Raw genomic sequence first — 19,486 nt, forward strand, 5'->3', positions numbered from 1 at the left:
ATAACTTTACTCCTGGCTTTGTTTTCACTTTGGCTAAATGGAGAGAATTCATTGAAACCTCTCAAACTACAAGGTATCACTAAATATGTAACTGCATTTAGAATTTTATTAGCCCCAAATTTTGATTAAGAATTACATACCGCACAGTCCAGTGCTTTTTGTATTATTTTTTCTCACTCATATATTTATTATTGTGATATTAATTTATTCATTTTCACCAAGGGTTAGCTGGTGAAGAAAGAAAAACAGGAAAATTTAAATCAAGCAACATTTTAACCTCTGGCAAAAAGGAGATTGGGGTTTTAGAAGAAGTACAATATATGTGTAGGTTAATTTGTGTTATTTCTCATCTTCACTCCAGCCATTTGGGAAAAAAAAAATCTCACAAGTTGTTGTGACTTAATTTGTGAAGCTGACTGAGAATCACCAAGTTATATATAGATATTATCATAATAACCTTGGCAAGAACTCTAGAACCTGAGAAAGTGCATATGGTGAAAACATACTCTGAATAGGAGAAAAATACCCTACTGAAAAGGAGTATTACAAATTTCTTTTTTTTCAACAAGTGGAAAAATATGTGAGCTAATATTTGGCTTGATTAAAGACATTGAAGTTATTGGTCTTATTGTCAGAAATGGCCAAACTGACTATAAAATGTTGATGGACAAATGGCAATTGCTTCAAAACAAAAAATAAAAACAAGGACAATACCGATGCAGGCAATTCAGTTCAGAATTTTATTTCTGTATATTGGGTAACAAATTTAATATCCATTTCGAGTATCTGAGAATCAACACATGCATGAAAACAACCGAAGTTTAATTTGTGCACTAGCTTAACTCCTTTCTTATCTGTTAAAGTATTCTAAAGTTAATTGGGGTAAAACAGAAGCAAGATACATAAATGAAGAAAATGAAAAAATGAAAGTTTAATTTGTCAGCAATTTAGTTCTGAAATCTGGTCATATGATGTTTTCTTTGTAAGCTTTTTTGAACAGTTTTAGATTTACAGAAAAATTGTGATAATAATGCAGAGTTCTCAAATAACCTCGCTCTTAGTTTTCCTTATTTTTAACATGGCATATTTGTTATAATTAATGAGCCAATGTTTATACATTATTATCAACTGAAATCCATAGTTTATTCAGATTGCCCTAATTTTTACTATTAAGGACATTAGTCCTTTTCTGGTTCCAGAATCCCATCCAGGATTCCACATTACATTTATTTATTGTATCTTCTTAGGGCCCTCTGGACTGTGACACTTTCTTAGACTTTCCTTGTTGATAATGACCTTGACAGTTTGGAAGAGTACTGGTCGGGTATTTTGTAGAATGTCCCTTAATTGAGATTTTTAATGATAATTTTTCTTGTGTTTAGACTGGGGTTATGGGTTTTTGTGTGGAAGATTCCAGAGGTAGTGTATCTTGTCTCATCACATGCTCTCAGGAGTAAGTGACAGCACATTTTTAACCTGTATAAGTTAGCATTTGGAATCATTTTGCTTTATGCTCAGGATTTACTCTTCACCCCTGAAGCAGAGACTCACCTGTCCTCCCTAAGTTTGAAGTGTAGTACAATTCAGGACATGCTCCTTCCTCAGATTCCTACCTATCATACAGATGACCACCTTCCCATTTTATTTTACTCTCTCAGTCTCTAATAAAACAATTGAGAATAAAATATTAATAGAAACATATTAAGTAAATGTGTTTCCCTTTCCAAATTTACTAAATAGGAAATGAGTGGTGTGGTACGTCCCACTAGCAATGAAAATTTCGGAAATCATGGCAAACAGTGGAAGATCCATTATAAATAAATAAGACCATTTATTTAGAAAAATTTCATTATCTCTCTCAGGGATAGCAAATGTCATAGTAGCATTTCTAATAGAGTCAACTGCACCAACTAATTAGTTATTAGGTAACTAAGAAAGGGTGTTGAGACTCTGTGACAGTTAATTTTATGTATTAACTTGGGTAGGCCACCGTATCAGACATTTGCACAACCACTTGTCTGAATTGTTGTCAAGACACTTTTTAGATGAGATTAACTGTAAAACCAGTAGACTTTGAGTAAAGCAGATTACCCTCCATAATTTAGGTAGGACTCGTCCAATCAGTTGAAGGCCTTAAAAAGAAAAAGACAAACTTCTATCAAGGAAGAGAGAAATCTGCAAGCAGACTGCCTTCAGACTTGAACATTAACACTTCTCTGGGGCTCCAGCCTGCCAGCCTACCGTTCAGACTTTGGGCTGGCCAGCCTCCTAAATCATATGAGAAAATTTCATAAAAGAAATTTCTTTCTTTTCTTTCTTTCCTTTAATCTTTCTTCTTCCTTCTTTTAATCTTTCTTCTTCTTTTTTCTCTTTCTTTCTTTCTCTCTTTTTCTTTCTGCTTATTTCTTTATTTCTTCCTGTCTCTTCCTTCTTTACTTCCATCCTCCCTTCCTCTACTGTTCTTTTTCTTTCTTTTCTTTTCTTCTTTCTCTCTTTCCTTTCTTTCTATTTCCTCTCTCTTTCCTTCATCTTTTCTCTTTCCTTTCTTCCTTTGTTTCTTTCTTTCTCTCATTCTCTCTCTCTCTCAAACCCTGACTAATATAGATTTGAATTTTTAAAAAATGAAACATCTTAACCAAGATCTGCCAAATAAGGTCAGGCCTAATATGATACTGTTTCATCCAATATTACTGTTCTGAGAAGTGTATTATTTCAGTATGTAGATGGTTTAGCTAGAATTCTATTTGTCTCCAGTTTAATTAGTGGTTAATTTCTTAGGCTCTTCCATCATACTAATCTACACTCAATTCTCAGTTACTCCACTTGAAAGCTGTGTTACCACGGTGCAATATTTACCCTTTGATCTTTTTTCTCATTTATAAAATAAGGCTAGTGTTTGGTATACTGTGAAGAATAGTGGAAATACGTGATCTATGAACATTAGTTGGAGAGGGGAGGAACTATATGGTGAAGAAGAAAGTGAGAAAATCTTTCCTGTGGAGAGAAGCCTATACATAATTCACCTCACTAGACTACTGCCTTTTCCCATTAAACTAGAGTGTGAAATGAAGAAAATGAACTAGTCAATCCTACTTGGAGAGATTGCTTCGGACCTGAGACATCTGAAATCTAACCACCTGACAAGCTGTGGGTGCTGGTCATCTATTTTAGTCCATTTAGGATGCTGTAATAAAATAACTTAGACTGGGTAACTTGTAAATAGCAGAAACTTACTGCTAGCAGTTCTGGAGACTGGGAATTGTAAGAGCAAGGCACCAGCAGATTCTGTGTCTGATAAGAGCCCTTTCCTCTTGGATGATATCTTCTATGTCTCCTCACACAGCGGAAGTGTCAAAAAGGCTCCTCAAAGCATCCTTTATGAGAGCACTAATTCTATTTATGGGGTAAAACCCTCAAAACTTAATCACCTCCTAAAGACCTCAACTCTTAATACCATCATCTCGGTGGTTAGGTTTCAATATATGAATTTTGGGGGGAAACAAATATTCTAAGTCACAGCAGTCTGCTCCTGAACCCACAAATTCATTTCCTTCTCATAAGCAAAATACATACATTTCATTCTAATAGCCCCCAAGGTCTTATCTCATTCGAGCATCAACTCAGAAGTTTAATATCTCATCCAAAGTCTCATCTAAGTATCACTTAAATCAGATATAAGTGAGACTCAAGGTAAGATTTATTCTGAAGTAAATTTCTCTCCAGCTGTGAATTTATGAAATTACACAAGTTATGTGCTCCCAAACTATAATGGTGGAACTAACACTGGATAGATAGTTCTTACACCAAAGAGAGAAAGAAGAAAAAAGAAAGCATAACTAGTCCCAAATAATTTCAAAACCCAATAGTGTAAACATTAAATCTTAAGTCTTGAAAATAAACTTATGTGATTCCATGTGCAGCCTTTTGTACACATTGAGGTGGGGGTTGGGTTCTCCACACTCTGGGCAGCCCTGCTTCTATGGCTTTGCTAGGTAAGACCCACAATGTAGCTCTCATGGGTTGAAGGTTGGTGCCTGCAGCTCTTTCAGGCTGCAATCGCATGGCCGTGGCTGTACTAATCTGAGGTTGTGAAGGTAGTCTTGTAACCATCTTTTCACTGGGTATTTCCCTAGTAGGGGCTCTTTTTGGTGGCCCTCATAGTTTCACCGGTCATTGCCCTAATGGGGGATTTCTACAGTGGCTCTACCACTTTAGCAGTTATTTGCCTGGGCCCTGAGGCTCTCCAGGGCAACCTTTGAAATCCAGGTGAAGGTAGGCGTGCTTCCAAAGCTTGTGCAAGTTGCACCTTCCTGGAGATGACACTGTGTGGATGCTACCATGGTTTAACACCTGTGCCTTCCAGAGGGGCAACCAGAGCTGCACCTGGGCCTGCTTGAGCCACAGATGGGGTGGCCAAAGAGTGCTTTGCTGGAATGTGGAGAGTAGAACTTTGTCATCATTGTGCCCCAAAAGCCCTGGCATTTTGGGCCTGTAATGGGTGGTGCAATCCCGAAGATCTCTGAAATGCTTTTAGGATCATTCTTCCATTGTCTTGATACAAAGCATCTGGCTTCCTTCTATTCATACTAATCTCCTTATTAAACACTCACTTGGCCACATCCTTGATGTTCTTTCCTGAACATTTTCCCACTCTTTAAAACATGGCCAGGCTGAGAATTTTCCAAACCTTTAAGCCCCCCTTTCCTTTTGATTATGAATTCCAATTTTGTTTCTTTTTTCTCACATTTTACTATAAGCAGTCTAGTAGAGTCATGCCATACCCTCAACCGTTTGCTTAAGGATTTCTTCTACCAAATGTTCTATTTCATAACTCCTTCCCTGGAACACTATGATATGAACATAATTCAGCCAAGTTGTTTGCTGGTTTATATCAAGAATCACCTTTCATCTAGCTTTTAACAATCTTTCCTCATTTCAGTCTGATATTTCATGAGAATGGCCTTCACTGTCACAAACATTCTGGTGGTGATCACTTAGGTAATTTCTAAGAAGACTGAGGTTTTCTCTACAGCTCTCTTCTTATTTGAAGACTTCACCAGAATTTCCCTTTTTAGTCAGTTCACAGCAGTACAGGCTGCTTCTACCATACACTTCAAAATTCCTCCAGGCTTTACCCATTACCGAGTTCCAAGGTGCTTTCATATTTTTATGTATTTGTTACAGCAGCACCCCACTTCTTATAACCAATATCTCTCTGTGTCTATTTGGGCTACTATAACAAAATATCTTAAACTGAGTAATTTATAAGAAACAAATTTATTGACCATAGTTCTGGAGGCTGGGGAATCCAAGAACAAGGCACCAGCAGATTCTGTGTCTGATGAGAGCCTGTTCCTCTTGAATGGCACCTTCTTTGTGTCCTAACATGACAAAAGGGGTTAAAGTCTTCCTCAGGCCTCTTTTATAAGGGCACTAATTCCATTCATGAGGCAAAGCTTTAATGACCTAATTACCTCCTAAAGACCTCAGCCATGAATACTATCAGTGTGGTGGTTAGGTTTCAACATATAAATTTTGGGGAAGATACAGTCAGACCACAGCACTCACCTAAAGAACCAAAGAGTTTGTCATTCTTTATTGCTTTGAGGCACCATGTTTATAGGCATTTTCAAATACCTTACCTGACCATGACCATCACATTATGGCTAAAAATTTATAATTGCAACACTGTTAGTAAGGAAGGAAGTAGCCAAGGAAAGAATCAAGGGAAACAAGTATTTCCGGAGTGAGCTAGTGAGACAAGAAAGGAAATAAGTGAGGCCTGAAAGAGAATGTTCATGCATCTGATGAGTATTTAGTGAGTGACTATAATGTAGCAAGCATTGTTATAGGTGATGAAAATACAATGTCGACAAGAAAAGCAGTGTCTCTGTTATGGAGCTTACCATCTAATGATATACTGGGGACAAAACACAACAAACGAGAACACACAGACACCTGTAACAGAATGTCTGATGGTGATAAATGAATAAGGAAAATCAAAGAAGGTAATATGATACAGGCTATTTTATCTAAGATGTATATCAGTTAAGATGAGTTTAGCTCCACATAACAGAAAAACCCTAATGTACATGGCTTCAAAATGAGAATTTCATTATTTTATTTTACATGATATCCTGAGGTAAGAAAGTTTCTAATATGGTACATCTCAGCTCTGAATTTGTTTCTTTGTATTTCCATTGCTTTCTCCTATTGTTGTTTTTTGTCTTTATCTTCAGGATGATAGTAAAATTATTGCTAGAGTTTCATCGTTGCATCTGGACACAGCAACATTCTTAGAAAGAGGAGGACATATCCCTCTTTAAGAATGAGAAAAATCTATCTCAGGAGCCTTCCAGCTGACTATTTTATTGGCCAAAATGAAGTTGTATGCCCTAATTAAAACCAATCACTGCTAAACTGAGTGGAAGGCCATGAATAAATTAGACTATATGGAACAGATTTAGTGTAAGTACCATAACCACTTTTGAAGGTATTTGTGAGAAGACATTTGAGAAGAGATGAGATATGAATCATAAAAAGAGGCAAATATGTGATGACTTGAGAGTGAGAAGATGTTATAGGTAAAGGAAACACCAAGAGTAATTTTTTGGAAGCCGAAGAGGAAAATAATATCAATGAAATGTGAGTATTTGGTTATGTTAAATGCCAAAAATTTAAGTTAATGGTCTCTCACCACAAATGGACCTTACTGCTGGCCTACAACCCTATTGTATTAATTTGTTTTCTCTCCTAATTTGGAGATTATTAGTCCACTCTCTCACAGCTGATGATCTTGTTTCCTGTTTCAGTGAGAATATTAGAGCAACACAAATAGAATCTCCACAGCTCTCACCATCAATCCTTACTTTCAACTACTTGCATCTCTGACTATGTAGTCTTCTTCCTCTCCTGTTTTTATCAATGACCTGTTGAAACTCTAATTTAAGGTCAGTCACCATAGATGTGCATTGGATCAAATCCTCTGTTGCCTATTTAAACAAATTGCTTCAACAGTCTTCCCCTATCTTCTGTCATTAGCTTTTGTATCTTTACTGTACATTCTTATCACCATTAAAATGTGTAATTGTTACTGCTACTTAAAAAGTTATTTCCTGACCTTATTTCAGCCTCCAGTTCCTATTCCTTTTTTATCTTTCCCCTTCCAAAAAACTCTTTAGGGGAGCTGTTTTTAATCAATGTCTCTAATTAAGCCATTGATTGATCTCTAATCAGCTATTTGTCCCACAACTGTACCAAATTTCCCTTACCAAGGTAACCTATCACACCATGCTGCTAAATGCAATGGCAAGTTTCTCAATTCTTACTGAAGTATTCAGAAACATTTGACATAGTTTAAGCATCCACATCATGCAAATTTTTCTTCACTTGACTTGTATGACACCAAATGTGTCTGGTTTTTCTTCTACAGCTCTAGCTGTTGCTTCTATTTTCAATTATGCTGGGTTCTCATCATATCCCCAAGGTCTTTTTCTGTTTCACGCAATCTGTTTTTCCCTGAGATGTAATTCATGTATCACAAAATGCATCTGCTTAAGGTGAACAATGAAGTGGTTTCAGTATATTCAAAAAGTTGAGCAACCATCAGTACTATTTAACTCCAGAACACATTTCCTCATCCCTAAAAGAAATCTTTTGCCAACAAAAAGTCACTACTCTACATCCCCCGGTCCAAACCCTATGCAACCAATAATCTTCTTTCTGTTACAGATTTACAAATTGTGGATGTTTTATATAATTGGAATCACAATATGTGGTCTTTTGTGATTGGCTTCTTTCATTTATCATAACGTTTACAAGGTTAATTCATGTTGTAGCATGTATGATTAGGTTGGTGCAAAAGTAATTGTGGATTTGGACCATGAATTTTAAATCATTATAACTAGGCTTAAGCACACTTTTATTAATCAAAATAGAAACCATTACAATCAGCTCATTTTTGCCAACAAGAAATAAGTATGTTTATTCCTGTAACATAAAAATCTGTGCTTTGGGATTCAATGAACTCTTGGAAGGCATTTTCTGCATCTTGCTGGTAGAGGAAGCATTTTCCATGCAAAAAGTTGTCGAGATGCTTGAAGAAGTGGTAGTCAGTTGGGGAGAGGCCAGTTGAATATGATGGATGAGGCAAAACTTTGTAGCCCAATTCGTTAAACTTTTGAAGCTTGGTTGCACAAGCTGCAGTTGAGTGTTGTCATGGAGAAGAATTTGGCCTTTTCTGTTAACCAATGCCTGTTGCAGGCATTGTAGTTTTCGGTGCATCTCATCAATTTGCTGAGCATACTTCTCAGATGTAATGGTTTTGCTGGGATTCAAAAAGCTGCAGCAGATGAGACAGGCAGCAGATCAACAAACTGACCATGACCTTTTTTTGGTGCAAGTTTGGCTTTGGGAAGTACTGTGGAGTTTCTTCTCAGTCCAACCACTGAGCTGGTGGTCACCGGTTGTCATATAAAATTCACTTTTCATTGCACATCACAATCCAATAGAGAAATGGTTTGTTGTTGCGTAGAATAAAAGAAGATGACACTTCAAAACAATTCTTTTTTATTTTTGCCCAGCTCATGAGGCACACACTTGTCGAGTCTTTTCACCTTTCCAATTTGCTTCAAATGCCGAATGACAGTAGGATGGTCGACGCTGAGTCCTTCAGCAACTTTTCATGTAGTTGTAAGAGGATCAGCTTCGATGATTGCTCTCATTTGGTCATTGTCAACTTCTGATGGCTGACCACTGTGCTCCAAATCGCCAAGGCTCTCATCTTCCTTGCAAAACTTCTTGAACCACCACTGTATGTTCATTACCAGTTCCTGGGCCAAATGCGTTGTTGATGTTGCGATTTGTCTCCACTGCCTTATGACCTATTTTGAACTTGAATAAAAAATCACTCAAATTTGCTTTTTGTCTAACATTATTTCAATAGTTTAAAATAAATATAAAATAAACTGCAAGTAATAAGTCATTAGCAAAAAAACAAAGCGAGAAATGTGCATTAAAATAATGTATAACATAACAACACTTATTTAAAAATGTATTCCAATATCAAATCACAGATTTCAACAATGCAAAAATCACAATTACATTTGCACCAACCTAATAGTAGTTTATCACTATTAAGGCTGAATAATATTCCATTGTATGGAAAAACAACATTATGTTTACCCATTCCTCTGTTGATAGAAATTTGTGTTATTCCCACTTTTTAAATTATGAGTAATGCTGCTGTGAATATCCACATTCAAATTTTTGTGAGGGTCAGGCATGGTGGCTCATGCCTATAATCTCAGCACTTTGGGAGGCCAAGGTGGGAGTATTGCTTGAACCCAGGAGTTAGAGACAAGCTTAGACAGCAAAGTGAAATCCCATCTCTACAATAAATAAATAAATAAAATAGGGAGCAAGGTGGCATGTGCCTGTGTTCCCAGCTATATTGGAGGCTGAGGCAGGATGATTGCTTGAGTCCATGAGGCCAAGGCTGCAGTGAGCCATTTTTGTACCACTGCACTCTAGCCTGTGTGACAGAGTGAAACCTGGTCTCAAAAAACAAAACAAAACAAAACAAAAAACAAAAACCAAAAATGTGGATAAATGGAATTAGTTCTCTGGGTACATACCTAGGAGTGCAATACCTGGGTCAAATAGTAACTTCCTATCTAATCTCTGAAGAACTGCCAAACACTAATTTTCAAAGTGGCTGTACCATTATATATCCCCACCAGCAATGCATAAGGTTCACATTTCTCTACATTTTCACTAACATGTGATATTGTCAGTCTTCTTGATTATAGCCACCCTAATGAGTTTTATGTGGTCTCTCGTTGTGTTTTTGACTTTCATTTCCCTACTGATTAAGAGTGGTCAGCATTCTTTTATGTGCTTATTGGCTATTTGTACATCTCCTTTGGATAAATTTATGTTCAAATTCTTTGTTCATTTTTAATTGGATTATTTGAATGTTTATTGCTGAGTTGTAAGAGCTATTTATATACTCTAGACACAAAATCATTATAAGATATATGACATGCATTTTTCTTTATTCTCTGGTTACATTTCGTGTTCTTAAAAGTGTCCTTTGAAACAGAACATTTGCTTTAGTTTATGTGCAGTGGAAATATCAATATTTTCTCTGGCTGCTTGATCTTTGATCTTTTTGAAAATTGTTTTCTACAAACTATCTTTTTAAAAACATTCATAAGAACTTTAAAATAAGCTTTTAATTTTTTTGCCAAAAATAATGCCAGCTTAAATTTTGTTAGAGACTTTGTTCTAACTATTGATCACTTTGGGGAATATTGACCATTTTAACATGTCTTATGATCAATTAAGCCTTCTGATCAATAAACATGGGATGTATTTCTTTTTAGCTATTTTACAAAATTTTTCTTTCAATGATGTTTTGTAGTTTTCATAGTGCCAATTTTGTACACCTTTTGTTAAACTTATTCCTAGATATTTTATTGTTTTTGATGCCACTACAAATGAAATTATTTTCTTAATTTTATTTTTAAGTTTTTAATAGCTAGTGCATAGATATACCATTAACTTCTATGTATTGGTCATGTATCCTGCAATCTTGCTAAACTTCTTTATGAGTGTGTGTGTGTGTGTGTGTCTGCGTGTGTGTGTGTGTATAATTTTTTTATATATACAAGGTTATATCCTCTGCATATACAGATGTTTACTTCTTCCTTTCCAATATGAATGCCTTTTTAAAATTTTTCTAGCCTGTTTTAGTTTGCTGATGCTGCCATCACAAAACACCACAGACTAGGTGGCTCAAACAACAGAAATTTATTTCCTCACAGTTCTGAAGTCCTGAAGTCCACAATCAAGGTGTTGGTAAGCTTTGGATGTATTTGGGGCCTCTTTCCTTGGCTCACAGATGATGGTCTTCTCACTATGTTCTTAACATTTTTTTCCTCAGTGCACAGACATCCCTGGTGTCTCTTTTGTGTTTCCAAACCCCTGCTTATAAGACAAGTCACATTGGAATTGGACCCACCATAATGGCCTAATTTTTAACTTAATTCGTTTTTAAAGTTCCTTAGTCCAAACACAGTCACATTCTGAGGTACTCAAAGTTAGGACTTCAACATATGAACTTGAAGGGTATGCAATTCAGCTGATAATAGTACCTTGCAACCTCTAATACTGAATTCATTTATCAGATTTAGGAATCTTCTGGCAGAATCTTTAGAGATTTCTAGGCATAAAGTCATATTATCAGCCAACAGAAGTAGGTTGACTTCCTACATTTTTTTGTCAGTTTGGATGTTCTTTATTTCTTTCTCTTGCCTGATTGCTCTGGGTAGGACTTTCAGTACTATGTTGAATAGAAGTGCTGAAAGTGGGCATCTTTGTCTTGTTCCAGTTCTGAAGGTAAATGCTTTCACCTTTTCCACGTCAAGTATGATGATGGCTGTGTGTTTGTCATATATGGACTTTATCATTTTATTGTATTATTTTACTTAATTATTTTAATATTTTGAGGTATGTTATTTCTATGTGTAGTTTGTTGAGGGATAAAGAGATGCTAGATTTTATCAAATGCTTTTTCTGGAACTATTGAGATGATCATATGATTTTTGTTTTTAATTCTGTTTATGTGATGAATCATATTTATTGACGTGCATATGTTAAAACATCCCTTCGTCCCTGAAAGGAAATCCACTTGTTCCTGGCAAATTATTTTTTGACATGCTGTTGAATTTCATTTGCTAGCATTTTCTTGAGGTTTTTTGCGTCTATGTTAACCAGGAATGTTTTCTGTAGCTTTGTTTTCCTTCCTTTGTTGTCATTTTCTGATTTTAAGATTAGGGTAATACTGGTTCCTAAAAAGCAGTTAAGGAGGAGTTCCTCCATCTCAATATTTTGAAATAATATCAGTAGCATTGGTAATAATTCTTCTTTAAGTGTCTAGTAAAATTTAGTTCTGAATGCATTTAGCCCTGGGATTCTTTTGTTGTTGGCAGTTTCTGTTTGTTTGTTTGTTTGTTTGTTTGTTTTATTACTGTTTCAATCTCAATGCTTGTTACTGGCTTCTTCAGAATTTCTGTTTCTTCCTAAGTTAAGCTAGGGTGAATTATGTGTTTTCAGAAATCTAACGATTAGCTCTGGATTTTCTAGTTTGTTTGCATAGAGGTGCTCATAGCAGTTCGAATGATCTTTTGTATTTATGTAGTGACATTGTAATGTCTTTATTTTCATTTCTTATTCAGCTTATTTGAATATTCTCTTTTTTTCTTAGTTAATATACCTAGTAATTTGTCAATTTTGTTCATCTTTTCCAAGAACCAGCTTTTGTTCTATTGATCTTTTGCATATTTTGCTTCAATTTTATTTAGTTGTGCTCTGATATGTGTTTTTTCTTTTCTTCTACAAGTTTTGAGTTCGATTTGTTTTTGTTTCTCTAGTTCCTTGAGATGTGAGATGAGGTTGTCGAATTGTTATCTTTCAGACTTTCTGATGTAGGCATTTAGCAATATAAACATTCCTCTTAGCACTGCTTTTGCTATATCTCAGAGGTTTTGATAACTGTGTCAGTTATATAACTCATTTTGAATAGTTTTAAAAATTTGCATCTTAATTTCATTTTTAATTCAATAATCATTTAGGAGCAGATTGTTTAATTTTTATGTATTTGTATAGTTTTGAGTGTTTCTTTTGCAATTGATTTCTAGTTTTATTTTGCTGTGATTTAAGATACTTATCGCTTTAATACATAGTGCTGGGATAACTGGCTAGCCACATGCAGAAGATTAAAACTGAACTCCTTCCTTACACCATATATAAAAACTAACTCAAGATACATTAAAGACTCAAATGTAAAACCCAAAACTACAAAATCCCTGTAAGACAATGTAGGCAATACCATTCAGTTCATAGGCAGGGACAAAGATGTTATGACGAAGATTCTAAAAGCAATTGCAACAAAAGCAAAAATTGTCAAATGGAGTATGATTAAATTAAAGAGCTTCTGCACAGCAAAATAAACTACCAACAGACTAAACAGACATCCTACAGAATGGGATAACATTTTTTCAAACTGTCCATCCTACAAAGGTCTAATATCCAGTGTCTAAACTTAAGCAAATGCACAGGTAAAAAACAACCTCATAAAAAGTGGGCAATGGACAAGAACAGAAAATTTTCCAAAGAAGACATACATGCAGGCAACAATCATATGAGAAAAAGCACAACATCACTGATTATTAGAGAAATGCAAATCAAAATCACAATGAGATACCATCTCACAGCAGTGAGAACGACTATTATTAAAAAGTCAAAAATAACAGATGCTGGCAAGGTTGTGGATAGAAAGAAATGCTCACACACTGTTGATGGGAGGGTAAATTAGTTTAACCATTGTGGAAGACAGTGACAATTTCTCAAAGACCTAAAGACAGAAATACCTTGTGACCCAGTAATCCCATTACTGGATACATACCCAAAGGAATATCAATCATTCTCTTATAAAGACATGCATGTGTATGTTCATTACAGCACTATTCATAATAGCAAAGACATGAAATCAACCTAAATGTCCACCAATGGTAGACTAGATAAAATGATGCATATACCTTATGAAATACTATGCAGCCATAAAAATGAATGAAACCATGTCCAAGATAACAGCTGGAGGCCATTATCCTTAGAAAACTAACACAAGAACAGAAAATCAAATACAGGATGTTCTCACAAGTGGGAGCTCAATGATGAGAATACATGGACATGTAGAGGGAAACAACACACACTAGGGCCTATCAAAAAGTGGAGGTTGGGAAGAGGGAGAAGATCAGGAAAAATAATAATTAATGGTGATATGGTTTGGCTGTGTCACCACCCAAATCTCATCTTGAATTCCCATGTGTGGTGGGAGAGACCCAGTGGGAGGTAAATGAATCATGGGGGCAGGTCTTTCCTGTGCTGTTCTGGTGATAGTGAATAAGTCTCACAAGATCTGATGAGTGTACAAGGGGAAGTTTCCCTGCACAAGCTCTCTTCTCTCTGCCGCCATGTGAGAATGCGCCTTTCACCTTCAGCCATGATTGTGAGGCCTCCTCGGACACGTGGAAATGTAAGTCCATTAAACCTCTTTCTTTTGTAAATTGCCCAGTCTCACCTAGGTCTTTATGAGCAGCATGAAAACAGACTAATATGGTAAATTGTGTGGTACCACTAGAGTAAGGCACTGCTGAAAAGTTACCCGAAAATGTGGAAGGGACTTTGGAACTGTGTAACAGGAATGGGCTGGAACAGTTTGGAGGGCTCAGAAGAAGACAGAAAAATGTGGGAAAATTTGAACTTCTTAGAGACTTGGTGAATGGCTTTGACCAAAATGCTGATAATGATATGGACAATAAACTCCATGCTGAGGTGATCTCAGATGGAAATGAGGAACTTGTTGGGAACTGGAGCAATGATGACTCTTGTTATGTTTTAGCAAAGAGACTAGTGGTATTTGCCCCTGCCCTAGGGTTTTGTAGAACTTTTAACTTGAGAGAGATGATTCAGGGTATCTGGTGGAAGAAATTTCTAAGCATCAAAACATTCAAGGGGTGACCTGGGTGCTGTCAAAGGCATTCAGTTTTAAAAGGGAAACAGAGCATAAAAGTATAGAAAATTTGCACCCCGACAATGGAAAAGAAAAGAAAATCCAATTTTCTGAGGAGAAATTCAAGCTGGCTGCAGCAATTTGCATATGTAAGAAGTAGCCTAAGGTTAATCCCTAAGAAAATGGAGAAAATGTCTCCAGGGCATTTCAGAGGGCTTCACAAAGACCCTCTCATCATAGACCTGGAGGCCTAGGAGGAACAAGTGGTTTCATGGGCCAGACCCAGAGTCCCTGTGCTGTGTGCAGCCTAGGGAATTGGTGCTCTGTGTCCCATTCACTCCAGCTGTGGCTGAAAGGGGCCAACATAGGGCTTTCACTGTGGCTGCACAGGGTGCAAGCCTCAAGCATTGGCAGCTTCCATGTGGTGTTGAGCCTGCCAGTGCACAGAAGTCAAGAACTGGGGTTTGGGAACCACCACCTACATTTCAGATATATGGAAACACCTTGGAGATCTGAAGAGTATATAAGGGGGAGTTTCTTTTCTCTTTTCTTGCTCTCTTTTCTTGTCTGCCTCTATGTTAGAAGTGCCTTTCAACTTCTGCCATGATTGTGAGGCCTCTCCAGCCACGTTGAACTCTAAGTCCATTAAGCCTCTTTCTTTTGTAAATCGCCCAGTCTTGGGTAGGTCTTTACCATCAGTGTGAAAATGGACTAATAAAAATGGGTACTAGGTTTAATACCTGGGTGATGAAATGATCTGTACAACAAACCCCCATGACACATTTACCTATGTAACAAACCTGAACGTGTATCCCTGAACTAAAAGTAAATCTTTAAAACAATATTCTTTTCCCTTATAATTTTGAAATAAAAATAGAATATTTCTATAAAAAATTTTGATTTTGAAGAATTTATTGAGGCTTGTTGTGTGTCCTTTAATATGGTTTGTCTTGGAGAATGTTCTGTGTGCTGATGAGAAAAATGTATATTCTACAGTACTTGAATATAATGATCTGTAAATGTTTGTTATAGCCAGTTGTTCTAGAGTACAGGTTAAGTCCAATGTTTCTTTGTTGACTTTCTGCCTTAATTATCAACCTCATGCAGTCAATGGAGTGCTGAAGTCCCCCACTGTGATTGTGTTGTGGTCTCTTTACTCAGGTCTAGTAGTAATTGTTTTATGAATCTGATAGCTCAGAGATTAAGTGTATATATATTTATAATTGTGATATCTACTTATCAAGTTGATCCTTTCTTCATTATATAATGATCATCTTTGTCTTTTTTTTTTAACTGTTGTTGCTTTGAAGTCTGTTTTATCTTACAAAAGAACAGCTATTCCTGCTTATTTTTGGTTTCAATTTGTGTGAAATATCTTTCTCCACCCCTTTGCCTTGAGTATATAAAAATCCTTATGTCTTAGGTACATTTCCTGAAGAAAGCAGATATTTGGTTTACGTATTTTCAGCTAGTCTATCTGTATTTTTTTAATGAAATATTTAGACCATTTAAATTCTACATAAATACTGAGCTCAGAGGTTCCATGCCAGTCATCATGTTGATTTTTACCTAGTAACTTCGTTTTCTTCATTGTGGTATTGTTTTAAGACTGGTAGTTTTTATGCTTTCAGGAGTTTTTATTCTGGTGTGTATTGACCTTTTATTTGAAGATGTAGAACTCCTTTTAGAATTTATTGTAAAACTGATATAACATTGACAAATTTCCTCAGTATTTGCTTGTCTGAGAAAAACTTTATTTCATCTTCATTTATAAAATAGTTTTGCTGGATACAAAATTCTTGGCTTACAGTTATTCAGTTTAAGGAGATTAAAGATAGGACTACAATCACTTCTGGCTTGTAAGGTTTCTGCTGAGAAGTCTGCAGTTAGTCTGATAGTTTTCCTTTTAGGTTACCTGGCGTTTTTGTCTCATTGCTCTTAGAATTCTTTCTTTCACATGGATTTTAGATAGCCTGATAACTGATAAGATAGCTTGTGATGCCCTTTTCTCAATAAGTCTCACAGGAGTTTAAGCTTCTTATATTTGTGTGTCTAAAAACTCTAGGGAGACGAGGAAAGTTTGTCTTAATTATTTCCTCAAATAGGTTTGTCAAACATTTTGCTTTTTCTTTTCCCTAAGAACACCTATAATTCTTAGATTTGGGCATTTTACATAATCCCATTTTTCTTGCAGATGTTGTTAATTTCTTTTAATTCTTTTTAAAAATTTTTTTGTCTGTTTGCATTAATTTGAATGCCTTGTCTTTGATCTCTGAAATTTCTTCTTCTACTTGTTCTAGTTGAATGTTAAAACTTTCCATTGCAGTTTGTATTTCCCTAATTGTTTCTTCTATTTCCAGAAGGTCTGATTGGTTTTTCTTCAAAGTAGCTATCTCTTTAGAAAATTTTTTATTTGGATCCTGAATTAAAAAAAAAAATTCTTTAAGTTGGTTTTAACCTTTCTCTTCTGTCCTCAAGTAAGTTAGTAACCAAACTTTTGAATTTTTATCTGGTATTCCAAATATTTTATTTTGATTTGGATCTACTGCTGGAGAGTTATTTGGGGAGAAGGAATTATATAGGATCTTGTTTTTTCATATTGCTAGAAATACTTATTTGGTTCCTTCTCATTTGGGTAAACCTTTTCTTTTCATTATTTTGAATTTATTTTTTATTCAACTAGGTTTTCTATTTTTTTCCCCTTGAGGATGTGACATTAATGTTTATAGTTTATTGTCACCTAGTTTTGACTCTGGGTGATTTCATTGGAGAAGTCTCAATTTGAGTTCCTTAGTTATAGACAAATTTTGTGTCATGTCTTCTCTGACGCTGGTTGTGTTAGTGTTATGCTGGGTGTACGAGAAGGTTCACTGTCTCCTGTTTGGCTGAAGTGGCAGAGGCCTCATGAAGCTTATCTTGTTTCCCAGTGGTGTGCATTTTTAACCTTTTTCCCCAATATTTTTTTCACTGGGTTGGACAGTTCAGAACTCAGGCCAGTAGGAGTTGCCCAAGGATAAAACTCAGCAGTGGCTAAAGCAGGTGAGTAAATGCAAATACCCCAATGGTGGGAAGAGGTCCCAGCTTTTAGAGATGTTGCTATGAAAATTCTCAGTAAAATGCAATGTGGTATTTTAAGGGGGAAGAGAGGAAGCTACCGCAGCTCTTCTTCCAGGCCTCAGAAAAACAATTTGCCTCTCAATTACATTCCTGATCAGTGTTCTGGCTATTCAGATAAGGCAGGCACCTCTATTCATCTATAGGAAGGCTGCTGTTCCATGAAGATAGAGATTTTGCCTTTACCTATAGTGCAAGCTGAACCTGTAAGGCACATTTCCTTTGGGGATGCAGTCACCCTGAAGTGATCCAGAAAGGCTGCCTGCAGATGGGCCCATGACAATTTCCCATGGTAGACACCTGAGTTGTAACTGCAGTGGTGGGTAAGGGGGAGAATAAGTCTCCTCCTCCCAGATCCTACACAAGAATGATGGGTGCTTAACTGTTGGAACCAAACCACAGTCTTTTCCCACTGAGCCCAGCATTGCACTTGTGCCTCCACTGAAGAAAACTTCCCACACATGGAAAATTCAGAGATGCAAAGCCTTTGGTCTGGTTTCTTTTATCCAATTGGGTGCTCCCTTAATGTGGTATTCTCCCCATTCACTAGGATTAGCAGTCCCTGAGTGCAAGACTACTGTGAATCCTGTTGCTTCTCTGGGCCTAGCTACCCAGTTGGGCTGCCACACTCTAGGCCAGTGCTGAGAAATGTCTGCAAGGGATCTGGTGATGTGACCTGTCCTCAAGTCTCCCAGCAGTGTTTACAAGCACCCTCTCTGATGCAGGTTGGAGGTGAATGATGTAGACTCTCAGATTTCCTTAATTATAAATAGCCTTAGCATGCTGGCTTTCTCAAATGCCAGCAGTAGTAGTATTCACATGCAGACTCAAGATCTCTTGTTCATCAGGGTGATGCAGGCATTGGAAATAGCTGAGGTTATGCAAATGTCTTCTTCTTGAGTGCTGTGTTACTGTGCCTGCAGATGTAATGGGCTTTGCTGGTTGGCCTCTAGCCAGGAGGTGGCAGGTGCAAAAGAGGACCACCTACACCGAGAACAGTAGAATGTGTTCTTGCTTCATGTTACCCACGGGAGGTACTCTGGTGCCTCAGGCAATAAGCAGGGCAATGGATATCCCAAATATCCCCGTCCATCATGTTACACTACCAGGGTGGTGAAGGGACAAAGCTGGGTTGGGGGTGTGTCAGGCAGGGCTGTCCTCTGGCTCCCAACGTGCAGCCACAAGCAGTTGTCCTAATGGAGATTAGATGGCAGTTCCCTGGCTGCTGGAGTAATGTTCCAGGGAGGAGCACAACTACCTCTGTTGCACGGAAGAATCTGCACTAAGAGCAGGGTACAGCAGGTGGCAGTAAGCCCCACTCAGCTACTACACACTTGGCAGGGCAGTTCTCATATCCAGAGTTATGCCAACAACAGCTATCTGGATTCCAGGTAGCCTGAGCTCAGAACTCAAAACTGCCCCAGGCCATAAGCCTTTTCCCAGGAAGACTGAAACTGTGGCTTCAGGCCATGCCGCTCTCTATATGCCCATGAAGCAGTGACACCCAGGGTCACGGAACTCCTGCACCTATGGCTGTAGCACACTTCCTGCTCTCCCCTCGGTTCTGGCCAATGGTATTCATCCCCACTCAAGATTACATCGCAAATCTCTTGTTGGGAGTGTCTCTGGACTGCAGCCTGAGCTAGCTGGCAGACTTCCATGAGGTCCCCTGAGAGGTAGGAACAGAAATGGCTTCTCTCCATCCTCACTGGATTCTAAGAGTGCAAACAAAGCATGCTGCTTCTCATATATTCTCCACTGTTCACTAAATCAGTTCCAGTGTGGGATAGAGTTATG

Source organism: Homo sapiens, chromosome Y (assembly GCF_000001405.40).
Source record: "Homo sapiens chromosome Y, GRCh38.p14 Primary Assembly".
NCBI lineage: Eukaryota > Metazoa > Chordata > Mammalia > Primates > Hominidae > Homo > Homo sapiens.